The sequence below is a fragment of the Homo sapiens genome, chromosome 11, assembly GCF_000001405.40.
Source record: "Homo sapiens chromosome 11, GRCh38.p14 Primary Assembly".
Classification (NCBI taxonomy): domain Eukaryota; kingdom Metazoa; phylum Chordata; class Mammalia; order Primates; family Hominidae; genus Homo; species Homo sapiens.
Window position 1 is genome coordinate 7559542 of NC_000011.10, and position 24977 is coordinate 7584518.

Below are 24977 nucleotides of genomic sequence, written 5' to 3' on the forward strand. Positions count from 1 at the left end.
CTATACCAGTGGTATGCAGAGGCCTGTAGGCTTGATGTCTCACTGGGGGGTGAGGGAGGGTGTATATGTGTGGTATTATAAACACCTAGGGGGTTACTTAGCATACTGCAAGCTTCCCTGCCGTTGGGTGAATTTTCTCAGATCCATTTATGAAATAGGCAATACTTTGGGGTACTTTCTTTCTATAGGGGTCTCACTTTCAACTTACTGCTTTCACTGGAGGCATTAAAACCTCAAGCCCCAATCTCGGTTCCTCCCTATATCTGGGTATTTTGCCCCTGGGCTACTCTAGAGTCAGCTTGAATTAATTTCACTGTTGAGTTCACTCTTTGTTTCTGGTACCCAAGGTTTTTACTGTCTTTCAAGCTTGGCTCCATGTTAAAAAATAAAATAAAATAAGAGTGTTATCTTTTTCAGCTTTTCTGTTTGTTCATTGTGGGTAAGGGGGACTCCTGGCAGTTGAGTATGTCCTGTTTCCAGAAGGTTCCCCCTTAAGCAGCACATGGCTAGCTTACCAAGAGGCCTGCTCTGAGATTTTCTGAAATGATTGTTCTGTGAAAATACTACCAGGTTTTTCCCCCTTTCACTAATGCAATTATAGAGCGAGGGAAAGCTAATCAACAGCACAAGGAAGAAACCTGTCTGGGTTTACTCACTTAATTTCCTGCCCAAATAAAGGCCTGAATTCTTCCATATTGTCTAGCATCCTGTGGGGACTTTGAAAGAACAAGAGAACCTAGAGTCCCTGTGCAAACTAAATGTCAAACTTGAATCTCTCACTTAGAGTCAACAAATTTAAAGTTTAAAACAAATTGTTATAAAAGTAATGAAAATTAATATTGTCAACATTTGGGTATTTCTCTGTATATATATATACCATATACATATAATTGTTTTACTGAATAAGGCAAGTATTTCCCCATGTTACTGAGTCTTTAGATAATTGTTTTTTATACAGCTATATGAATCATATTCTTTCTTTCAGAAGTTATTTAAACATTCACCAATTTGGGGGGATTTTTCCCCTACTTTTTGAAAATTAAGATGCTGCTGAGATTATTCTTATATATTAATCTTTGACTACGTGTCTGGTTATATTTCCTTAGCTTAACTTTCTAGAATTGGACTTGCTAGGTCAAAAGGCATGAATATTTTTCCTGTATCTTGCCAAATTGCTTTTCAGAAAGATTAGGCCAGTCTTTGTGTCTATTAACAGTGTATGAGGGTACCCTTATGAACAGCATATGAGCTTGCCAACATTAATTATCATTGCATTTGCATTTTCAACAATTTACGTAGGTGAAAATTGAATATCATTTTTAAATGTTCTATTTACCAATGCAAAAACATTTTCTTTCCATATTTTTAAATTTTACTTCTGTTTTTTAATTCCAGAACTGCCCATATAAGAACCTTGTGCCTATTTTGTGTGTGAGAAGTGGCTTGGGGACTTTTTCTTATTGATAGATAAGGTCTCTTTTTGTATGAAGGCTATACTGAGCTTTTGTTGTAATTGATACGAGTAGGTTTGTTTGTTTGTTTTGAGACAGAGTTTTGTTCTTGTTGCCCAGGCTGGAGTGCAATGGCACAATCTCAGCTCACTGCAACCTCTGCCTCCCAGGTTCAAGCGATTTTTCTGCCTCAGCCTTAAGTAGCTGGGGTTACAGGGGCCTGCCACCATGCTTGGCTAATTTTTGTATTTTTAGTAGAGAAGGGGTTTTGCCATGTTGGCCAGGCCGGTCTCGAACTCCTGACCTCGGGTGGTCTGCCTGCCTCGGCCTCCCAAAGTACTAGGATTACAGGCGTGAGCCACCATGCCTGGCCTACAAGTAGGTTTTTCAGGCTATAATTTGTCTTTTAATTTTGTTTTTAATATTCCAGAAGTTAATTTTATGTAGTCAGGTTTATTGTTCTTTTATGTCTTGCTCAATTGCTCTTGTGCCTATAAAATCTTCCTCTCACTCAGTTTTGACCTATCTTCTCTTTGTATTTCTAGTTCAGTTTTTTAAGTGTGTAATCTTTGTCTGTCTAAATTTTATTTTTGTGTATGGTGTATAATAAAGATCTTATTTTTTTCTGTGAGGGTAATTCTAGCCACATATTTTAGCAGTGTATGGCAAGTGCCTCTTGATTGTACTTCTCAGAATATTCTCAGCTATTTTTATTGGTTAGTTATTTTACTGTGTAACATAAATTACCCCAAACATAACATCATACAATAATAAACATTTATCATCTGTTTCTATCTGCCAGGAATTCAGGAGCGGTTTAGTTGGGTGGTTCTGGCTTAGGTCTCTTAAAGAGTTATAGTTAAGATATTAGCTGGGGCTACAGTCATCTGAAGGCTTTTCTGGGGCTGGAGCAGCAGTCCCTAACCTTTTTGGCACCAGGGAACAGTTTTGTCGAAGACAGTTTTTCCATGGACCTGGGGAGTCGGGGGAAAGTTTCAGGATGAAACTGTTCTACCTCAGATCACCAGGCATTTGTTAGATTCTGATAAGGAGTGAGCAACCTAGATCCCTCGCATGCACAGTTCACAATAGGGTTCACACACCTATGAGAATCTAACGCCACCAGTGATCTGACAGGAGGCGGAGCTCAGGCGTAATGCTCATTGGCCCACTGCTCACCTCCTGCTGTGCAGCCCAGTTCCTAACAGGCCATGGACTGGTACCAGTCTGTGGCTAGGGCTGGGAACACCTGGGCTGGAGGATCCCTTCCACAGTGGCTCACTCATATGGCCATTGGTAGAAGGGCTTAGTTCCTTGATGTCTGCTGACAGGTAGCCATATTTCCTCACTATATGGACTTTTCCATAGGGATGATTGAGTGTCCTTATAACATGGCAGCAGCCTTCCCCCAGAGTGAGTGGCCTGATACAATAAAGCAGAAGGAGTCACAGTGCTCTTTATAACCTAGCCTTGGAAGTGACATTCCTGTCATATCCTATCATTTCTGTCATATTCTACTGGTGACACAGAGCAACCGTGATATAATATCCACAAATTACGAATATTAAGAGGAATGGGTCACTGACGGCTTCTTGGAGGCTGGTTATCAAACTCTTCCTCTGAGAGGAAATTTAGAATTGTATCTCCCTTTGTATAGATGTTTATTCAATATCATTTTGTCATTTACATCCCAAAGCCCCATGGTGGCATCTGGAAGTTTCTTCTTCCCTTAGTTTTCTGCCCTGTAACCTTATCTGATTCTTAAATTTAAAGTCAAGTGGCGTTTGTCATCTGAGGCTTTTCTGTCACTGTCATTACAACTAGCTCAGGGACAAAATATTTATCTTTTCACTTCCCTCATCTAGTATTTATTGACTATTGGTTTTGTTAAAGTAATAAAAGAAATATAAGTTTCAAAGAAATAGAAATTAAAGTTTTATATATATATATATATATATATATATATATATATATATATATATATACACGCACACACACATATGCCTGTAAAACTTGGCACAGATATACATGTACTCACATACATGTACACACGCATACTCTGAATAGTAGGAAAGAATCCCAAAGCTTTAGGGCAGAGAGGGTCACAGAGAAAGGAAGAGACTTTTCCAAGGCCACACAGTGATATAAAGTTAATGAAAACCCAGATCTTCCATCCACCTTTTAGCCTGACTCACTCTTCCCACATTTATGAAATACTTAAACTGGATGGCTACGTGTTTAAAATTCATGTGTACAGAATGGAGAGGGATTACTTAGCAATGGTTTGGAGATTGGAGGTCTTGCTCTGCTTCTGTCCGTTTTCTTCCCTGAAGTTTGGCTGTGGCTGTTCTAAGTCCACTCTTAATTGGATTTGTAGGAGCCAGAAAGTGCTGAGCACACATCACAGTGGTGGGTAATTGGGCAGTTTCCTGGCTCCCCAGAGCCTCTGACTTGTTTGTGGATGGTGATCCATGATTCCCTGTATCATGCATTTTCAGAAAGCAAACTGGCAATCAAATGGTAATTGTTTCCATCTGTGTGGATTTCTGCCTGGCAAGGAGGAGGTTGGCTCTGAGAAGAGTAAAGGGACCTGGAATTGGATGTCAGGCCTGCAGCATACCATGGATGCGGTGGCCCCAAGCTCACATTTTCCAGTAGAGTCCTAATTTCAAATCTTTCATCTGGTTGGCCTTATAAATAATGCAAATGCCCTAGAAATTCCACCACCTAAACCATATTTTCTAAAGTGTTTCTTACTGCTGAAAGGAGCACAGACTTCCTTTGTTAGACTGTTGCCCCAGTTTTGATTTGAAAAATGTATCACTGAACTTACGGAAAGGAGACTTTTGCTGCTGCTGCTGTTGTTAAATAGGTGTAAGAATGGTGGAACAGGCCAGGCGCAGTGGCTCACGCCTGTAATCCCAGCACTTTGGTAGGCCAATTTGGGTGGATCATGAGGTCAGGAGATTGAGACCATCCTGGCTAACACAGTGAAACCCCATCTCTACTAAAAAATACAAAAAATTAGCCAGGCGTGGTGGCGGGCACCTGCAGTCCCAGCTACTCGGGAGGCTGAGGCAGGAGAATGGCATGAACCTGGGAGGCGGAGCTTGCAGTGAGCCGAGATTGCACCACTGCACTCCAGCCTGGGTGACAGAGCAAGACTCCGTCTCAAAAAAAAAAAAAGAATAGTGGAACAGTTGAATTTGGGGCATATCAAATTAGAAAGAGCTGACCCAATATACCAGATCTCTGAGGACATTGAAGCACTCTCTCTCTAGATACTCATTCAGGTATATGTGCGGGCATTTTGTCAGATTCCTTTTCAGTGTCTACTGGGTAGAGTGCATGATGCTGGGAACTCAGTTAAATGTAATATGGACTCTCTCTCAGACTCCACAGCCCACAATAAGGAGATGAGGTATGGATATACATAATAATAATGCAAATTTAAGAGCATATAGAGATATATAGGGGATATAAAGATCTTCTAACTGGGAAGATCCAGAAAGATTCCAGTTCACTAAACCCTCACCAAAATGAATACAGTAATTGTCATCTAGTGCTGTGGGATAAGCCAACCCAAACATAGTGGCTTAAAACTACCATCGTTTCTTTGTAATTTCATGATTTGAGTAGCACTCTGCAGGTGTGTCTCCTCCCTGTTCCACTTGGTGTCAGTCGGGGTGGCTCATGGGGGCTTGGAAGATCCCAGATGGCTTCATTCACATGTCTGTCACCACAGCTGGGAGGGCCAAGAAAGGTGGGGCTGTCTTTCTAGCCAGGTAACTGGGCTTTGTTACATGGCAGTTTAGGGTCAAAGAGAGAAAGAGTGGAACCTGTTAGACCTCTTAAGGCCCAGGCCCAGAGCTGGTACAGAGTCACTTCCACTGCTTTCTGTTGATCAGAGAAAGTCACCAGGCCAGCCCAGAGTCAAGATCCATCCCTTTATCAGAGGAGTGGAATGCACACACAGGAATGGAAGAATCTCTGGTGGCCAACTGTGTAATCTATGACTTTAATATAAAGAAAAAAATTCTAAAAGCTGAAGAATGAGATCTTACTGTCTAAACGTAGTTTATGGTCCCTAGTGAGGACTGGCTGTGCTTTCCCAGTTGTCTAAGTGTGTGAGCTTCATACATCAGTCCCAAAGGGTACAGTCATCCACCTCTGTATGCCTATTTTTACACTGTCCAGCCCGAGATTAGATAAAGATGATTTCTGGAAAGTTTACATTGTGAGTGATTCAGCTGGGGTCCAGGTGGCCTTCCAGGTTTCTTTATTTAAAGATGGGGTCTCACTCTGTTGCCCAGGCTGGAGAGTAGTGACTATTCGCAAGCCAGATATTGTGCACTACAGCCTGGAACTCCTAGACTCAAGTGATCCTCCCGCTTCAGCCTCCCAAGTAGCTGAGACTACAGGCGTGCACCGCCATGCCCAGCTCACCCCCAGCTTCTTATCTGTCCCTTTCACCGTTTCTTCACCACCTTTGCTCTTTACTAGTACCTTGCTCAGGGTGTCCACCCTTCTTACTGAGTTTTCACCTCTCTCTCATTGCAGGCACTAAAACAGGTGCAGATCTTAGTGATGGTACTTGTGAGCCTGGACTGGCTTCCCCGGCCTCCTACATGAACCCCTTCCCGGTGCTCCATCTCATCGAGGACTTGAGGCTGGCCTTGGAGATGCTGGAGCTTCCTCAGGAGAGAGCAGCCCTCCTGAGCCAGATCCCTGGCCCAACAGCTGCCTACATAAAGGAATGGTTTGAAGAGAGCTTGGTGAGTAGTCCCGTGGCCTGATTGGGAACCACTGGGGAATGTAATGGTGCAGCCCATGGAGTGCCACTGCTGACTGGGGCTGTTGAGTCATCTGTATACCTTCCAGCCTTTTCTTCCATCCCACTTTGGCCAACGCTGCAGGGTGGCCCTTCTTATCAAGGAGTATAGAGCCCAGTCAAGCGACTTAAGCTATGCCCTCTGCCCTTCCATGGTCCACAGTTGGCCTCTCCTGAGGAAATCCAGGGCCAGAGAAGGGCAAACATTTAAGATTTCACACACACACACACACACCCTCGAATTACATGTACTGCTTATTGAGTTCTAATCCCTGGCTGGTGTCTCTACCCTCGGCTAGATCCCACTACCCCTTGTTTCTTACCACAAACAAAAGACTGGTTACCTCATTGATTTAAAAAAAAGCTTGACAAATTTCTTAGGAGGCAATGTTTTCTTATTTTTGCATTTCTTTGGTAAAAAGGCTAAACTTTTGAAAATTAGTTTATTCGTATTCCTCTGTATGGTCTCTAAACTTTTGATTCTATATCCTGTATCTGGACAAAGAATGCATTTCCCATATACATATTCACATGCAGCATTTTATTTTTGAGACAGGGTCTTGCTCTGTCACCCAGGCTGGAGTGCAGTGTGGCTTGATCATGGCTCACTGCAGCCTCGACCTCCCAGGCTCAAGGGAATTCTCCCAACTCTTGCTCCCAGAAGTGTACCACCTCTGCAGAAGTGCGAGCCACACCTGGCTAATTAAAAAAAAAATTTTGTGTGTGTGGAGATGGGGTTTCCCTATGTTGTCCAGGTTGGTCTTGAAATCTTGGCTCAAACAATCCACCCACCTCGGCCTCCCAAAAGTGCTAGGATTATAAGCGTGAGCCACTGCACCTGGCCAGTATTTCACTAATATACCTAAATTATAAAAATACCACAAAACAGAATTTTAAAGTTTTTTATTTGTACAAATTGTGGGGTACATGTGAAATTTCCTTACATGTATATAACACATAGTGATCAAGTCAGTCAGGGTATTTAGGGTATCCACTGTTCACCAAAATAGAGTTTTAAAGGATAGGTTAAAAAATAGTTCCCATATTTTTCCCTGTACACCCAGAAATCACCTTGAGCCTCTTGGATGCACCTCTCCCACTCTAGTCTATTCGTAGTCTATGCTGTTGTTTTCTATTAGGATTTTAGTGTTTTTCTTATCTATTTGAATGACCTTTTATTAGCCGTTTGCTTTATTTGTAGCATATATTTTCCTCACTCTGTTTTTAAATAACGTTTAGGTGCTTTCTGAGACACAGAATTTTAAACAACTGTACTTGACTCTATCAGTCTTTCCTATTTTGGTTTCTTGTTTTCCTTTTGGCCCTAGCAACGCCTTTCCCAACCTCAGAACAGATAACTGTTCACCTGTATCTTCCTCTAGTAAGTTTATGGTTTGATTTTTATTTTATGGTTAACTCCAATCCATCAACAATATTTTTTAGCATTTGGTATAAACAATGAATCTAACTTTTAAAACAGTTTTTGGAAATTTATTAAAAATATTTTTGATCCAAAGGCAGTTGACATTGTTGTTGGTTTTTTCAAGATGCATTGGTAGAAAACAGCTTGCATTCAGATTTGCAGTTTTGTCTTGGGGTTATTTACAATGGTTTAGGGAATGCCTTCCTTTGAAGAGATTTCCCTAAAAGTGATTGCATTCATAAATCTTCTAGAGTAATTATGGCCATCACTAACCTATGCATGGCGAAGCAAGTACTTTTAGGGGGTCAGAAGTTCATATAAACATTCCAAGTTGTAAGGGCTGCATGTTAAGGTTTTTATTCTGGACAGAGATAGCCTGTCTGTGTTTTAGATCTTGCAGACCTAAAGTCATTTTATGATCAGCACATCCACATTCCACACAAGGTCTTAATCTGTATGGGAATAGAATTCAGACTGGTGAGCAAACTCATCAAGTGCTTTAGATTGACACTTTTAGTTAGAAGTTGTTGCTGCTCAAATTTTGGTCTGTGGCTCAGCAGCTTTCTTATCCCCTCGTAGCTTGTGAAAAATGCAGACTATGGGCTCCCATCTCACACTTGCTGAACCATCTCCAGGTGACTCGTAAGCACATTAAAGTTTAAGAAGCGCTGCGTTCAACCCTGGAGACTCAGTTGAATTATTTTTTTAAAGTCCCATGTGGGTTAGGATTGGAGTTGGAACTAGTAAGATGGTTTGAAGGATTAGGCAGCACTGCCCAGCGCCTTCTCATGCATGATGTCTGTGCATCCCTTGCATATTTGCTCCCTTCTCCTCTGTAGACACATTGGCATTGTTCACACCTAGAATTCCTGCTTGGCCATGACACTGGCCTGACATGGTCCAACTCTGCCTCGTGACACCTATATCAGTTGGGATACTTTTTCCAGTAAAATGATGTAAACAATAACAAGATAGACCACTAACAAGATGTCCAGAAGACAGACAGTCCCAGGGTTAAATAAGTGGCTCTGAGTGACCTCATGGGTACTGGTTCTTCCCATCTTTTTTCTTTGCCATCCTCAAGGGGTGGTTTTTGCTCAGGCACATCCCATAACAGTTGCAAGATGGCCACTAGAACTGCAGGCAACATGTCCTTACAAGACACAACTATACAACTGTGTGCAGAGGTAGAGAATCATTTCTTTAGTATGTTTTTGTTGTTTTTAATCAGGAGGGAAACTCTCTGCAACCCCCTAGCAGACTTCCCATTTAGCTGCAGTGGCCAGAATTTGTTCACCTGTGCATACCCTAGCTGCAAGGGAGGCTGGGAAAGCAAGTATTGGCACTTCCACCTGCCATAGAGGGAGGTGGCCTCTGTCAGAAAAGAATGATGATAGAGTGGGGGAAAGTGGCCCTCAGGAAGACAGCTCAGAGTGACTGCCACAGACTTCTGTTAGGTTTGAGTTTACTCTTGTTGGCTGACAAATTCTTTCCATGTTTTCTCAATATGTTTTCTTTTTAAACTCAAGTTTCTAAGGAAAAGGATCTGATTGACCCAGTTAATTATTTTTGAGCGAAGTCCTCCAGATCAATGAAGAAGCGTTAAGTGTAAAAGAAATAGACATTAAAGACTTTTAATTTATTCACAAGCTATGGATGCACACCTTAGGTCCAGTGTCTACCCCAGAGTGAATCAACTGTTAGCAGAGGGGAGGGATTACATAGTGGGAAATGTATCTTGTACTGCTGCTGCTCATCTGGGACTGCAGATCTTCTGGCACTGGAGCATCTGTGGTCCATCAGAAGAATGGGCTGCTGAGAAGCAGGGGTAGATGTGGAGGAGTGGTCCATAGTTAGAATAGGACAAATAGCAGACTAGTCCTGGGCTCTCTATGTCTTACATGAAAAGGGCACTCCTAGTCCTAGTGCCTCCTATTGGGTAGCTGTTTCTTTGTGGTAGGGCTGGTTCCTCTTCTTCTGGGTCCTGGCAGAGCTAAAGCACAGCTGGGCCAGCACAGTTGGCAGAAGTAGGAGTGCTGTTGGCCAGGACTTTGCCTGGAGATGGGTATAAAACAGAGGCGACTAGTTCTAAAGCCCAAGTGGAGCAGACCTGCCCAGGAGTCAGTGGCACTGGGTTAAGTGAGTTTCCCATGCTCTGGAGTCTAAACTAGCATCCTGCTCCTTGGTAAGTATAATGAGGAGAAGTGGGCTCTGGGCCTAGAAGGGCATGTGCAAGGCTTTCTTAATGGGGATACCCTCTGGGGCCTCAGTGGGGCAAGGAACAAAGGGCTTGGATTCCCTTGGTCTAGGAGCAGTATTTCCTCTGGAAAGTTGGTGAATGAGGACCTTGTATAGAGGGTGTCTTGGGGTCTAAGATGGGCTGGGACCTGGCCTGCAGAGGAAGCATCAGGGAGGCTGTCCTGCCTGTGGTGCAGCAGAGCAGTGTTACCCTCAGGAGATGGGAAGGTAGTCCTTTACAACTGGAAGACACAGCCAAGCTCAGGGTCAGTGCTCATGGAGGATGAAGCTGAGGCCCTGGCTGGAAGGCTGAGGCAGCTCTTTTGTGATGGGAACAGAGCTGAGTTCTAGAAAAGGGGCAGCCTCCTCCTTCTCTGTTTACTATGGTGAAATGTAGGATGATGCCCTCGGGAGGGTGTGGTTATTTCAGTTCAGGAGCCCCAGAACCCCACAGGTGGTCCTGAAGCCCAGAAAGGGAAGCAGTGCTCATCAGTGGCCCTGGCATATGCTGGCATGTAATCATCAGTGGCCCTGGCATGTGGTACCTGGCCCAGGCAAGAAGGACCCGGTACAACTGTGACCACTTCCAGGATTTTGGCTGTGCCTTGAGTGGGGCTTTCCCATGGTCTGAAAGGGGTGTCTCTACCCCTCCACACCTGCTTGGCTTGGCTGGTGGTTAGTGGCATAGATCTTTGGCTAGGTTGGGTGGTGGAAACCTTAGACAGGATAGCCAGTCAGATTCAGATGGGCTCTACAGGGCTGGGGATAGCCAGTTAGCTGGGAGGAGTAGACCTAGGCTGATACACAGTGTTGATTCGTGTCCCAGGTCTTTGGGTGACGCCCAGAAGATACCAGAGCCAGCAGAGTCTCCATATGAAGTAGCCATGGGTGCTTCTCTAACAGTATGTTATGTACACCCTTCATCTCCTACCAGCCAGCCAGTCTGTTCTGCTGTTTAATACATTGGGTATGGGCCAAGGAGATTCTTGGTGAAGTTTCAAGATGAAGCCAGAGAAAGGGCAGGCAAACCCAGCAGCAAAGTGAAGGCAAGTCAAGGAAGAGCTCAGGCTCCAGGGTGAGGGGTGGTGCTTGGCAGAGAACCCACAGAAGGGCTGTATGTACTCTAGGCCCTGTTTGGAACTGGGGTACATGGAGTAGGCTTGGCCATCCAATAGGAACCCAGGCTTTTCTTTGCAAGGTCTCAAGAGTCCTGGTCAGTGTGCTTGAGCAGGTGAAAGCAGATTGAACCAGGGTGAGGGAGTATGGAAGGTAGGAAGGAGTTAAAAGGCCAGGGTTCTACCCTGGCTCTACCACTCATGAGCCTCTTCTTCACTTCTGTGGGACTCAGTTTCCCTACTGGAAATGACAGCTGAGTTTGAAAGTGTCTGCAAGATCTGGCCAAGCATTCCAATTCTGCAGTTTGTTCTGGGGGCTATATGGAGTGGTCTCTTTGTAAGCACCAGCCTTTGCCTCCCTCAGTCTTGACCTCTTGGGTTCCAAAGTGTGGAGACAGGTTAGGAACCTCTCAGTTTACTGCTGCCCTTATGTTAGAGCTTGATGGAGGCCCACATCTCAACAGTGGAGAGGCAAATCTGTTTACCATATTGAAAAACCTGAAGAGTTGCTCTCCTGAATGAGCAGCCTCTGCTGGCCCCAGCTGGGATAAGTGCTCACCTCTGATAGCCCAGCAGTCAGTTCAGGTGCCCTCAGTTACCTTTTTAACTAGTTTCCCAAGAAACAAAGAAACCCAGACCCAGGCTGGGGAGCACAGCCACCCCCCCTTCTCAGCTCCAAACCACCTTGTCACAGATGGCGGTTTCTTCAGCTCCCAGCTCCTCAAACAAAGCCCATACATTCCTGCCAGATTCAGCTTGCAATCTTTCATTCTGTCCAAGAAGCAAATCTGTTTACCATATTGAAAAGCTAGAGGAGTTGCAAAAAAAAAAGTGGAGAGAAAAAGCTGTTTTATGAATTATAAAATGTGAGCTTGAATTTTTTTACCATGGGATTCATTTCTGTATCTCCAGAATGGAAAACAAAAGATAGTCAGGATACGTGTGTGTTGAACATTTCAATTTTGAAAAGTTACAGAAGGAGTTTTGTAGGTAAACCTTTTCCTCTGGATCTTAGAGGAGGGAAAATTTGGTGCTTATTTTTCAAGAAAAAAAGTAGAGCCTGTGTGAGCCGATTTCCAGCATGTTTTCTTACCTCCCCTGTGACAGGTGTGAACTTGAGTGAGAGATGAGAAAGGAGTAGGTGTGTCCGTGCTTTCTTTCTGCGCTCAGCTCCCAAGGGGCTCCTGGGCCGGGCTCAGGTGGCATCAGTGGTGGTTCTTTGTCCCTGTGCAGTGCTGGAAGAAGCCACTAGGTGGGAGTCAGGGACAAATGCTGGGAAGTGAAATCCCAAAGAATGAGGTCAGCATGGGCTTCATATGAGAAAACAGCTTTTAATTTTTCTTTTTCAGACAAAGATAACATAAGCACCTCTCATTATTGAAACTGCTTAACTGCACCTGGGTCAGCTGGCAAAGATAATTCTTTGCCATTTTCCTTAGAAACAGTGGACAAAGGGCAGTCAAGAGAGGGCTCCACTGTTTAGGGTGGGGGAGAAGAGACAGGGCTGGTCCTGGGATCATAGACCTGACCTTCCCCTGTGGATGTGGGGAGACCTCTCCAGACTTCTTGACTGCAGTGCCTTCTGCTGGGGTGCTAGTAGGTTGGCCCCTTCCATTCCTGCAGGCATTTCCTAGCCCACAGTTTATGTCACGCCCTGCCCTAGAGAAGCTTCCTGTCCCCTGGGGGATTTTGAATGCCCTTTTCCTGACACAGCAGCCAAGACTGGGGGCCTTCAGCCACTGCAAATTTAGCAGTTTCAATTTTCCTGGATCTTGATCCCTGCCCCCCAAAGTAAATTTACCCTACTAAATTCTAGCAATCCGGCTCCTTTCAGACCTGACCTAAAGAGACTATTTCAGCCTCTAAGAACCAATGTTTATAAATGACCAAGAATGTGCAAACACTGGTGAAAGAGCAAATAAATCCTTCCCCACTATATTTCCTGCTTCAGGCCCAGGGGCCGTGGTGGACAGTGTTGCCAGGTTAGCATAACTTGAGGTCTGAGCACGTAGACACCCACTTACCCTCCACCTACAAAAGAAAATCCTGCCAGAGATACACTACCAAGAGCCTTCTGCCCTTTCAGATACCTGCTAGTGGGCAGGCAGGCTCCAGGGAATTTATGCTTCTAGGCAAGTTTGTTTAGTAATCTATGTTTCGAAGAATGTTTTGTTTGTTTTGTTTTGTTTTGTTTTTTGAGACGGAGTTTTACTCTTATTGCCCAGGCTGGAGTGCAATAGTGTGATATTGGCTCACTGCAATCTCCACCTCCCAGGTTCAAGCAATTCTCCTGCCCCAGCCTCCCGATTAGCTGGGATTGCAGTTGTGCACCACCACACCCGGCTAATTTTTGTATTTTTCGTAGAGACGGTGTTTCACCAGGTTGACGAGGCTGATCTTGAACTCCTGACCTCAGGTGATCTGCCCACCTCAGCCTCCGAAAGTGCTGGGAATACAGGCATGAGCCACCATACCTGGCCTTGAGGAACTTTTGAAAGCGGTTTCCTAACTTCTTACTCCTCCAAGTGTTGTCCTGGGACCAGTAGTACGAGCATCACCTGGGAGCTTGTCAGCAGTGCACAACAGCAGGCCCCATACCCAATCTACTGAACCAGAATCTGCATTTTTACTAGAACCCCCTCAGGTCCAGGCAGTTCATTCTGGATGGGGAAGCACTGTCCTAACCCAGGGATTAGCAAACCATGGCCCACAGTTAGCCCACTGCATATTTCTTACACTCATCAGCTAAGAATGATTTTTACATTTTTCAAGACTGAAGAAAAATCACAAGAATGTTTTGAGATGGGAAAATAATATAAAATTCACATTTTGGTGTCCATAAATAAAGTTTTACTAGTACACAGCCACACACTGGTTTAGGTATTGGCTGTGGCTGCTTTTGCACTGCAAATAGGAGAGTTGAGTATGAGATAGACTACATGGCCCACCAAACCCAAATATTTGCCATCTGGCGCTTTACAGGAAAAGTCTGCCGACCTTTGTACTGATCTATTTTGGAGGTGCATTCTCCATGCATGTGTTCTGTGGAGGCTTGAGCTGCAGTGGCCAGGACTTCCTCCACAGCACTCTTCACTCCCTTCCCCCGCCTCCCCTTCTCAGCGGGCCCACTGTGCACCATGTCTGTTGAAGGACACAAGTTTACATCTGACTTATGAGGATTTATGAGGGAGTGTCCTGGCAGCTGCCACCTATGGCCCAGAGGTGAAGGCTCAGGGCTGAGCGGAGCCCAGGATGCCTGTAGGTGATAGGTCAGTGGAACAGCACGTGACCATGAGATTCCTCTCAGTTTACAGTTCTGCCTGATAAGATGCTGCTGATTTCTGGTAGGCAGCAGGAGTAACACCTCAGGGGGCCTCAGCTCCTTTTTCAGCCATTCCCTCAAGTACTTGGAATTCCAGCCAGGTAGGTGGCAATCCTGGGGTTCTCTTCTAGACCCTAGGACAGGGGTGGAGCAAGCTACAGTGACTTTCCCCGGCAAACCTGACCACCCTGGCCTCTTAGCTGTGTTTTTACTCCCAGAATGCTCAGCCTCACAGTCTCCTGCCCTTTTCCCACAGCTGGCTGCTGCATGTTGCAGGCAGTAATGAATCTGTTTGTAGATGAGCAAAGTACTTCCAGGAAGGCCTTCGGGACTGTTAGGTCACTGTAGTGACCCGTATTTGTGTACCCTTTGTGCTTCCTGAGGACTTCTGTCTTCAGAGAGGGGTCCAGTGAGTCTGAGACACCACCTCACAGGAGCAGTATAATGGGAGCAGCAAGCCCAGGCCCCCGAGCTCCCAATAACAAGGGGAGCCTAGACCTTTGGGAGTAACTACCTCGGCCAATTAAAAGCTGGGCTTCTAGCCTTTTGGGAGTCATGGACTGTTCTGATAATCTGACAACTCTTTTTCAGATAAAGATTTATGAATACAAATAGTAGTACTTTCTATATATTTGACGAACATATTTAGGGGCTCATCTGATCCCTGGAATCCCATCTGTAAATCAAGTGAGGTGCCCTGGACAGGATGGACTTCTAGGGCAGTGGTGCAGCCATGGGTTTGCCTTGCCAGGCCAGTGTGATGAGGGAGCCACGACAGGGACCCAGCTGCCCCTGGGGGTGGGGTGAGTGAGCGAGGAGGTGCCTTAGCTTCTGAATCCATCCCATTTCACTCAGCCCTTCCCCTTTCCCTCCTGCCAACCTGCTCCTAGGTCTTTTGGGGTGTTAATTTGTGATTTTTGAGTTGAATTACAACGTAAGTAAAATGTACTTGGTGTTTAAGGAAAAACAAGGCTGAGATAAGACTTGCTACTTGAGAATGCCATAAAAATGTCAAGAATTTAGCTGCAGTTTATCTGGATTCTTCCCTCCCTTCCTCCCTTTTCTGTCCCTTTCTCTCCCCTACCCTGCACCCCCCACCTTTGTTCATCACACATTGAGTTGAGCTAACAGAGGAAATGGGCCCCGTCTTTTCCTTTTTGTGTCGAACATCTTTACCCTGGAGAAACGGACCTTCAAGTCTCTTTCCTTCACATAGAATTTTAGTCTTACTTTACCAGTCTTATCATTTGAGCCTTATTCTTTCATCCAAAAAATGTTTAAATTCGTACTGTGTGCTAAGAATTGTAGGCATGGAAGTAGGAGAAGTGAGTTGGAAATCAGACACACTTCTGACAGTCTGGTGCAATAGGAGTGGTCCAGTGTGACAAGGTCAGTGATGAAGTAGAGAGGGGAATTTAGGTGCTCAGGAAGGGATAGAAGAGGGACACCTGAGCCACAGCTCTATGTAAGCTGGGAGTGAGCAAGGCTGATGAGAGCAGCCACATTGGCCACCTTTCTCTTTTCTCTTTTCTCCTCTCTTGTACCAGAACCTAAGGAAGAGCACTGCACTCCTCCCAGGAGAGGGGAGAATTTTCCACCATCCTGTAGAGGCTGGAACCTTGCGCCACCTCTCCCTGTCCAGCTCCCAAATCAGCTTGTCTACCTCCTCTTCCTTGGAGTCCCAGATATACCTTTATTGCATACCATATGATAATTCTTAACCCAGGGCATGAAGTTTTTCATTTGCCTTGGATGCGGGGAAAATGTGTATTGACTGGATGAATTTCTTCATTTGACTTGTTCAGGCTTTTAGACAGAGAAAAACCAACCTACTGACCCCTGTACCTTTAGAGATGTTCTTCCTTGGCAACATCCTGCCATAGCACGGGCAGGGAACCTGGGCTGGGTGGGTCACACTGTGCTGTGGAGCAGGGCCAGAGGTGAGGAGCAAGGGGCTAGAGCTCAGCGCATGGGCAGCAAAGCCTGCTTTTCCTTTCTGGCCTCTGTCTGGGTGTGTCTCCAGGAATTTACTCCTCCCCTTATGCCAGCTGCTGGCTAGAGCTCTCCTCCTTGCCGCCTCTGTGATCTCTGTGGGCTGGCCCAGCCTGCCGGGGACTGTGCTGCCAGGCATTGTTTCTCCCCTTTTGGGCCCTGCTTCTGGCCCTGGTGGACATTGAAGCCATGCTGAGGGGCATGCGGCATGAGGGGCATGAAGGACTGCTCTTCAGACTGGGAGTTCCAGGAAACCCCGGAGGTGACCCCCAAGGGAACTGGGAAGGCCCAGGCAGTCACAAGCTGTGCATCTGCAAGTCCTTTGCCACAGCAGAGCTCGGGGCCTTGCGTGTAACCACAGTTCCCACCGTGTAACCACAGTTCCCACCGCACCCACATCAAAGGTCACTTTGATAATCAGCCATAGCCAAAGGCCACACATTAAGGGCTGGGGAAGGGAGAAAAGCTGTTTTTAGTGGGGAGCTCTCAAAGGAGATGGGAATAGGAGGAGGTGGGGGGTGGCATCTAGGGAGTGCTGGAGGGGCCACCTGGAGAGCCTGCATGTGACCTGCCCTGAAAGGAGGAAAACAGCTGCAGCTCCAGGTCTCCGCCAGCCTTTCCAAGGCCCCTGTCTACCCAGCACTGCTCCCTGAGTCTCATGGAAATGCACGTGAAGCAGCCTCAACCTTTCCACCTCCTTGGTTTGTAAAGCAGGTAGCCCAGAGTGGGGGACAGCCAGAGAGGCAGGACCCTCCAGCCCTGGCCCCTGTTCAGAATGTGGCCCCCAGGGTGCCCTGGCTGGTGGCCAACAGTCCAGGGCCAGACTCCCCTGAGTTTGCGGCAGTTGGTCTCTAATGGATGGTACCACCAGTGCCAAGGACAGCAAACGCTCTGTGCTGGGCCCGTCGCACAGCAGGACCAAGAACCCAGACTGGAGCTGCTTTTTTTTGGAAACAACAGGCTTTCCTCAGGGCACAGCCCGTCACTCGCCTGGAAAATGGGTGGGCGTGGGCTTCAGGGCGGGGGTCAGGCTGTGTGTGGGAACCAGTGAGCTCCTCCAAGAGCAGCACTTATTTTTAGTCTTCTCCCCAGTCCCAAATAAACTGAGAGCAGCTGGGAGCCCTGGGTAAATGCAGAGTGAAGCAGAGACAGGAAATCGGGGCTCTCAGTAATGAGTTCCAGCCACTCCAGAAGGGGGAAGCCAGACAAGGAATTTTCTTCAGGACTGTTTCCCTCTGGCAGGCTCCGGTATTATCACTGAGAATGGTCCCGTGTGTGTGTGCGTGTGTGTCATGTTTACAACTTCTGTCCAAGTCTTCTTTCTTTTTTCTCTACCTTTGTGTGACATTTGATTTCTCCGCAGGGCTCTGAATCCCAGTCCTGGTGCGTGTGCGTGCATGTATGTGCGTGTGTGTGTGTGTGTGTGTGTGTGTGTGTGTTTGTTGGGGTGGTCGGGGAGGACACTGAAGCAGCACGGTCTGCTCTGTGTCGCTGTGTGTCTGAAACTGTCTAGGGAGAGGCTGAAGGACGCAGGCCAGGGAAGTGGGGAAATTTGAACACAGCTTGGAGTTCTTGAGGGGGGAGGGGGCAGAGGCAAGGAAGAGGAGAGAACTGGTCTCCAGCCAGGAAAAGGGCTTTTTCCACCAAGGCATCTAACTGCTGACATGGGTGCCCAGCATGGATGGGGACATTGATGTTTACAAGCATTTCTCGTGGCTGAAGAGGGTAAGTGACTGGCTGCTTTGTCTGGGTCTCCGTGGAGATAAGTGAGGGGGAGACGCTTTGGGGTGTTTTGGGGTGTGTGTGCCTGTGTGTGGTAGGGGGAGGTATTGTCCAGCAAAGCCCTGCTGTGGCCAAGTTCTTCATGAGAATCTAATTATAGACACCAGGGAGAAAACAGTCAGCTGTCTTTGTTTCTCCACTGACATTCTAGTGAATGAGCCTCTGTACAGAAAGGCAAGAATGGAGTGAGGAAAGTTGGTTATTTTAACTTTGGCACCTAAACAGTCAGAGGCTCCAAACACCGTGACCAGAAGAATGTGCCCACCGCTTTTCAGTTTGAGGACACAGGGAGGAAGCTGCTGCCTTTTTAAATGCATTGGATTCGGAAGTTGTTTAACTCGTTCTCACTCTGATGTTATCCGGTGGAGCACACATCTGCTGTCAGCAGAATGAGCTTCTGCATTTCCGGAGGAAAGCTTTCAGGGAGTTCTCTTTGAATGCTCTGAAGCTGAGGGTTTATGTTGCAAGTTGTTCATGCCCTTTCTTTAGAGGATAAACCTGAGTGTGTGGTATGAGCAAGGAATGAACGGACGTTGGGGGCTGGAGTAGCATCATACTCCTAGAATTCAGGCTGTTTCCTCTTTTGTGGCTGCCTTTAAATTGGCTAAGATAGGTATGAATTTATTTTCACACGAAGGGATTTTAGGCTGAGTGTTTTTCAGAGGCAGGAAGGGCAAAAGCAGCTGACAGGTTAGAGATTTGACATTGTAACTGCAGAAGGACAGAAGAACCAGGAAGTGTCCAGCTTGGAAGGGGCATGCAGATGCCCGGACCCCGACTCCCGGACACTGAGCTGGCTGGCTTTTGTGTGAGTGCAGCAGCACTCATTCAGCAAATCTGTACTGAGTTTGGGTACTGGGTGTATAGTAGTGAGCAAAATAGAACCAGCCTCTTGTGGATCTTCTACCTAATACTGGAGATGTAGGTGAAACAGTCCCAGGAAATAAACCTCAGATTACAAACAATAAGTGTGCCTGGAGGAAGAACAGAAGACACGGGACTGCTGTTTTGATGGAGAAGGGGGTTGGGGCGGTCAGGGAGTTTGAGGAAATTATACTTCGCTGAAAACTGAAAGAGCAGTAAGAATGAGTCAGGTGAAGAATGGGGTGAAGAACATTCCAGGCAAATGGGGCATAGGGGATGATGTATATACAAAGGTCCTAAAGCAAGATGGAGTCTGCTGATTGTCCAGATTGAGAGAGAGCCCATGTGGCTGAGCACAGTGATGGCAGACAGAGGCGGGCAGAGGCTGGGATCACGCAGGACAGTGAAGGCCACGGTAAGGCTTTTGGGCAACCTGGTTTGTGTGCTGGGGGACTTGTAGCAGGGAAGTGACATGGGATACATTGGGGGGGGTCTAGTTTGTATTTTAAGAAAATTACTCTAGCTGTGATGTGGTATATGGTAAGCTATGTTGGGAAAAGTGAGGCAACTGAACACAATTATAGGGCTGGAGGGCTTGGAGGGATGGGATAGTACAAACCCCTCATTTAACAAAGCCCAAGAGGGGCTAAGAACCTCATGGTATTAGTGTCATAGCTATTAGTGGTGCAGCCTGGTCTTGAACCCTGTTCTCTATCTCCCAGTCTAGTTCTCTTTATTCATTTTCTCTGCCAAATATGTATAAAATTATTGCTTTAGAACCCAGCAGAAATCCTGTCTGTGCCCAGCCCCTAGGGCATCACAGTCACCAGAAAGCATGCTGAGATGACCAGACGTTTTGGCAAAGGTTTGCATCATCTTAGGTTTTTTTTTTAAGCCCCACTGGGGAGATACTGAAAGGAAATATGTAAGAAATGCACTGACCATCACTTGGTCCTTCTTTCCCTGTATCCCAAATGAAGCTTTTAATCAAGAAATCCTTTCAGCCAACATGTGCCTGGGATTGTCAGAGCCTTGTCCCAGCCCCTGGGGCAGATACTGTAACTCTGCCTGCTACAGGAGAAGTTATGTGTGTGGAGGAACTAATTTTGCATGTGATGCAATGTAAGAAGGCCCTTCTTGTCCCAAGACCCAGGGTATGCTGGCTCCTGTGGACAGTTGGAAGTTTGCTTAGGGAAACTTTAAGCAAGGAGACTTTAGAAACCCCCAGGATGACTCATAGCAAAACAGATATTTTTCTTCTACTTTTAGAATTTTAAAGAGCATTTTACAAAAGCAAAACTCAAAGTGTAGACATGTCATTGGCAGTGTGATAAGAGTATTTTCACTATTCTCTACCCTAAACACTACTGCCAGATTTTTAAAATCTTCTTAAAAAAAAAAACAAAAAAAACAAATTCCCTTTCGTCCTGTGACCCCAGTGATGAGCCCCCCTGGACTCACCCTTAATCTGGAAGAAAAATCAGGCCCTTCGGCTTGCTTGGCCTTTGAGACCATTAGCAGCCCAACCTCAACTTACCTTTTTAGTTTTATCTTTTATATCTACCCTGATGAGCTCCCAAGTGTATTTCTTCCCTTTTCTGAGCTTTTACCACAGATGACCACCTCCTCTCTAACTCTCATCCACTTCAACTGACTCCATCCAGGCTGTCTTTTCCCAGGAAACCTCTGCTGGCCCTCCCTCCCCACCTCCTGTAGCCCAGGTCTGCAGCACTTCCCATCTGCATGGCTCACCCACCCTTTCTCCTGTGCTTCAGCTGAGGTGGTGTGGAGAGCTGGTTTCTCTGAACTCATGCTTTTGAAGGTAGAAACACTATCGTCTTCATTCTCCTTTACAGAGGGCATAGATTCTGGAAGAAGAGGTTCCTGGTGCCAGAGCAGGAGCCCTTGCCCTTTGAGCAGTCCAAGGTGGTGGTGTCTCAGGGCAAAGGGGAGATACTTATGTTCAGAGAGGCATGGAGCTGGAGGGGAAATATTTGCTCAGAAAAGAAATCTTGCTCCAGGGCCTGTGTGGGATGGGATAGTATATACTATTAATATTACAGTTAAGAACATGGAGTCTGGAGTGAGGCCTGAATTAGAATCCTGGCATTGCCACGTTTACCAGCTGTGTGATCCAAGGTAAATTATCTCAAAAGTCTGGATTTCTTTAACTATAAAATAAGGGAGATAATAGTACCTACCACATACAGGCTTTATGAGGACTCAGTAAGATAGTACGATTAGTGCAGTATCATGCATGTAGGAAATACTCAATAACATGCTTGCTATTAACTGCTATTGGTGATTATCAGGAAGGGAGAAGTTGAAAGAGGAACAGATGGAACCAGGTTCTCTCCTAGAATTGCCTCTCAGGCCATTCAGTGCTTCAGCTTTATGACCCTTCCCATACTCCAGATCAAGGTCTCAAACCAAGCATATTGAAGACCTAGAAAAGGCAGCTGCAACCTGGGCCACCATAGGTGACCAGAGGCCTCATTGGCTGCTGGATCTGGCCAGCTTGGCTGTGGTTGCTGAGTGAAGGCTGATCAGGGCTGATGCTCTAGTTCATTCTCCTAACAGACAAAGCCTAGGGATAAGGTAGTCTCTTGCCACAAGTATCCAGAGGGACTCAGTCACAAACAGCTCACACCTGTTCTACATTGAGTCCAGTGGATCCAACCCACACAACCATGAACACACCTCTAAAAATAGCTCCGAGCAGGGTCTGTGGGACCCACCCACTGCTCTTTCGGCAAGAGTTCATTTTCCCAGGAACAGAAATCCCAGACTGTCAGCATCTTCACACTGCTTCCTGGCTTCCAGCACTCTCAGTGCTTAAGCAAATTCCAACTGTAGGTCACAAAGAAAATGGAATCACTACAGGTCCCCCATGCAGTTGGCTCAGGTTCTGCAGTAAAAAGTGGAATTAACTCAAGCTGCTAATGTGAGACTTTATTCTGTGTCATCTGGTGCTCAAATGGTTGATCTAGTAGCCTGGCCACTTGGGCCAGAAGAGCTGCAAAGGCAGACACGGAGGTCTCCTCACTCCAGACACTGACTTGCCTTGCATTCATGTTGGACTGCAGTGAAAGTTACAGAAATAGGCAGCAGCTTCTGTGAAGGCTGTTCCTACTAGTTAAGAGCATGGATCCTGGATCTAGATTCCTTGGGCTCATATCTCACCTCTGTGTAGACTTGGGCAATTTATTTAACCTTCCTAGAATTCAATTTCCTTGATTATATATATGGATAAACAATTCTATAGATAGATAGATAGATAGATTTTTTTTTTTTTGAGACAGAGTCTAGGTCTGTCACCCAGGCTGGAGTGCAGTGGCACAATCTTGGCTCACTTCAACCTCCTTCTCCTAGCTTCAAGCGATTCTCCTGCCTCAGCCTCCCGAGTAGCTGGGATTACAGGCATACACCGCCATGCCCAGCTAATTTTTTGTATTTTTAGTAGAGATGGGGTTTTGCCATGTTAGCCAGTCTGGTCTCGAACTCCTGATCTCAGATGATGCGCCCGCCTCAGCCTCCCAAAGTGCTGGGATTACAGGCGTGAGCCACCGTGCCCAGCCAATTCAATGTATGTTAAGTGCTTAGGAAGCACTTTATAAGTGTTAGAGTTATGGGGAGGATGACATCGATCAGAACTGACAACCTCTGGTTACTCGGGAGCCAGGTACCCAACCTTGATTCTGAAAAGAGAGGTTTTTCAATCCTATGGGAAAGGCAACAGTGGATATGGTCACCCAAGGGCACTAGCTTCCTCAATTTCCTATGATACCTCCTATTTCTGGCCAACACACCCGAGATGCCTGTACATTATGTTTCCTGGTATAATTTAGAAGCTAGAATTCTGCCATCTCTGACATCCAGCACCTGTAACTCCTGCCAGCTCCTTGAAGAGAGGCCTCTTTTACCCAGTGGGATTTAACAAACTGGCATCACACCAGGGTCATTTGCTGAACAACTTGTGGGCACTACAGAGCAGCACAGCCATTGTTGGTTTTGTGGACTGGCAGCAGCACTTAGGGATCCTTTGACTCATCCCTGCTTTTCTCTGTCCCTTCCTCCATAGCAGCTCTTTCACACTTTTCCATTAGTCTTCAACCTTATACTCCCCTTTCAACTGATGTCACTACCAATGTCATAGGAAAAAAAAAAAAAAACCAGCCAAACTGAGATGAGTCTCTTCACCCTCCCTCCCTTTCACCGCAAAATGTAACTGTATTTCAGCATCCTGTTTCATGGGCCAGGAGTCCCTTCTCTCAGCCAAGGCTATCCCAGTATCCTGTCCTTGACCCAATCCTGTTCCAGCTCCTCTTGTTGCTCTGATTGTTTCTTCTCTCAGCTCCTCCCTGCCTATCTGTCCCTTGCCCTTGGTGGAAAATGCTTCTCCTCAATTCTCAGGGAAAAAACAAATCAAAACTATCTTTGACCCTGTGCTTGTCTCTTCATGCTGCCTTATAACTTACCTTCCTTTCACTGTTAAGATTCTTGGTGAGTTGTTAGCCTGCTCGTTCATCTCTACTCCCTCCTGGTCACTCCTGAAGCCAGTGAGCACTAACTTTGTTCCTATAGTCATCTTTTAAATTCCTTCTGTAATGTTATTTTTGCTGCCTCTAGTTCCCAGGCAATCTTCCCCATACATTTTCCTTTGTATTCATTTCCATTTGGAAATCTTGTAGGATTAATGGCATTCTTGTGACCCGAGGAGCAGCTCCTTACTTTGGCTCTTGCCTAATTCTGTGTTCTCAAACTTTGGATCTTTCATGCCGAAGAGACACCAGGCTCTAAAGCCTCCAGGGGAGCTAAGACAGTCACAGCGCCCACTCCACCCTAACTGTAGCACCCAGTCCTGCTGCACTGTCTCTGAAGGTGTTTTCAGTAATAATGACTCAGTGCATCTATTGGAGTTGGCAAGGTGAGGACAGTCTTCAAAGAGTCTTCTCTTTTTACTCTCCTCCTGGCTTTCACATCCTCTCATTACAGGATACCAGCACACATACAAATGCTATTTCTGCAGCCCAGTGCTGTAAGCTTTTTATGTGTCCAGCTACCAGATAAAGAGAATTTAGCAGTGACCAAGCTCAGCCAAGGTTATAATTTTGGGGAAAAAAAAAATCTTGGTAAATGTGTTTCTCTACAAATCTAGCTCCCCAGGAAGATCAGTTAGGAGCTTCATCCCAGCCCCTTGGTTGGAGAGCTGATGGCCAGTTTATCTTCAGGGTGTCCTGTGTTTGCTATGTTAGTTCTGGAAGACCAGAATATCTGAAGGGTAGTGATTGTCATAGCTTCATGGGTAGCATGTCTGTATTGGGAAGGCTATTTCCAAAGCTGCTGTTCTCACATTCTCCTAGGGGTATTCCTTTAAAGCCTTCAGACTCAATCATTCAAATGGTGCCTCCACTGTAAAGCCTCTTCTCTCTTTTGAAGGTGAAATGTTTTTGTCTCTCCTCTATGCCCCTGCCATTCATGTGCATACAACTCTTTATGATAGTACTTATTACATCCTGCTGCAAAGGTTGATTTCTTTTTTCCTTCTGTCCTTATTCCCTGTAATACTACAGAGCTTTTTAAGGGCAGGGACTAAATCATTGTTTAGCACAGAAAGTGGCACCTAGTGGGTGCTCAGGATTATTCAAGTCATTTCATAAATACATTCATGACGTGTGATGATGTGAACATTGGTCAACCAAGAAGCTATTTATTTGCTGTTTATGAACTCTGCTTTGTTCTTCCTTAAAAGAGGACATTTAGATCATTGGATGATAGCCTCATCAGCAATACTTAACCTCCCCTTATATATAATTGAGGGGAGGAGGGAATAAGGGTCAAGGTCAGGATAGGCTTTCTCTTGTTGGACTCCTGGTAGCCGAGGATCTGACTGCACTCTATTCACATTGCATTTGGAAGAAATTTCTTTAACACTGTGACAAAGATGGTAGATTGGCTT

General features: G+C 45.9%; 1 protein-coding gene and 1 long non-coding RNA gene across 28 annotated transcripts in view, besides 5 other annotated features; one reads left to right on the plus strand and one right to left on the minus strand.

Annotated features, from left to right (window-relative positions):
• PPFIBP2 (PPFIB scaffold protein 2) overlaps nucleotides 1-24977 on the plus strand; it is a 153306-nt gene that overhangs the window by 45543 nt on the left and 82786 nt on the right. For 15 of the 25 annotated variants that reach the window (NR_147792.2, XM_011520415.4, XM_047427751.1 and 12 more), the window contains one exon: nucleotides 6012-6226. Coding sequence is in view for 22 of the 25 variants with exons in the window: in XM_011520415.4 (XP_011518717.1) it covers nucleotides 6012-6226 (215 nt within the window). In the remaining 3 variants the exon portion in view is untranslated. Of the gene's footprint in view, nucleotides 1-6011; nucleotides 6227-14391; nucleotides 14482-17498; nucleotides 18098-18349; nucleotides 19434-24977 lie in introns of those variants that run through there. The other 10 variants (NM_001351857.2, XM_006718352.3, NM_001351859.2 and 7 more) reach the window with 4 other exon arrangements.
• Nucleotides 3600-4101: an enhancer, noted in NCBI's record as "OCT4-NANOG hESC enhancer chr11:7584372-7584873 (GRCh37/hg19 assembly coordinates)". NCBI's record gives its function as "activates a minimal SCP1, AML or CMV promoter by ChIP-STARR-seq in primed H9 embryonic stem cells {active_cell/tissue: H9 hESC(primed)}" and the evidence as "EXISTENCE:reporter gene assay evidence [ECO:0000049][PMID:30033119]".
• Nucleotides 9324-24977, minus strand: part of LOC105376535 (uncharacterized) — a 28817-nt gene continuing 13163 nt past the window's right edge. For 2 of the 3 annotated variants that reach the window (XR_007062579.1, XR_007062578.1), the window contains 2 exons: nucleotides 21719-21868; nucleotides 9324-12330 (listed from right to left, as the gene is read on the minus strand). This is a non-coding gene — a long non-coding RNA (uncharacterized LOC105376535). Of the gene's footprint in view, nucleotides 12331-19402; nucleotides 21869-24977 lie in introns of those variants that run through there. The other variant, XR_007062577.1, reaches the window with a different exon arrangement.
• Nucleotides 14330-15154: an enhancer, noted in NCBI's record as "H3K27ac-H3K4me1 hESC enhancer chr11:7595102-7595926 (GRCh37/hg19 assembly coordinates)". NCBI's record gives its function as "activates a minimal SCP1, AML or CMV promoter by ChIP-STARR-seq in primed H9 embryonic stem cells {active_cell/tissue: H9 hESC(primed)}" and the evidence as "EXISTENCE:reporter gene assay evidence [ECO:0000049][PMID:30033119]".
• Nucleotides 15155-15978: an enhancer, noted in NCBI's record as "H3K27ac-H3K4me1 hESC enhancer chr11:7595927-7596750 (GRCh37/hg19 assembly coordinates)". NCBI's record gives its function as "activates a minimal SCP1, AML or CMV promoter by ChIP-STARR-seq in naive H9 embryonic stem cells {active_cell/tissue: H9 hESC(naive)}" and the evidence as "EXISTENCE:reporter gene assay evidence [ECO:0000049][PMID:30033119]".
• Nucleotides 18397-18631: a silencer, noted in NCBI's record as "fragment chr11:7599169-7599403 (GRCh37/hg19 assembly coordinates)". NCBI's record gives its function as "represses an EF-1alpha promoter that drives an FKBP-Casp9 reporter gene in an ReSE screen in K562 erythroleukemia cells {active_cell/tissue: K562}" and the evidence as "EXISTENCE:reporter gene assay evidence [ECO:0000049][PMID:32094911]".
• Nucleotides 18702-18781: an enhancer, noted in NCBI's record as "active region_4374". NCBI's record gives its function as "activates an Ori minimal core promoter by ATAC-STARR-seq in GM12878 lymphoblastoid cells {active_cell/tissue: GM12878}" and the evidence as "EXISTENCE:reporter gene assay evidence [ECO:0000049][PMID:35858748]".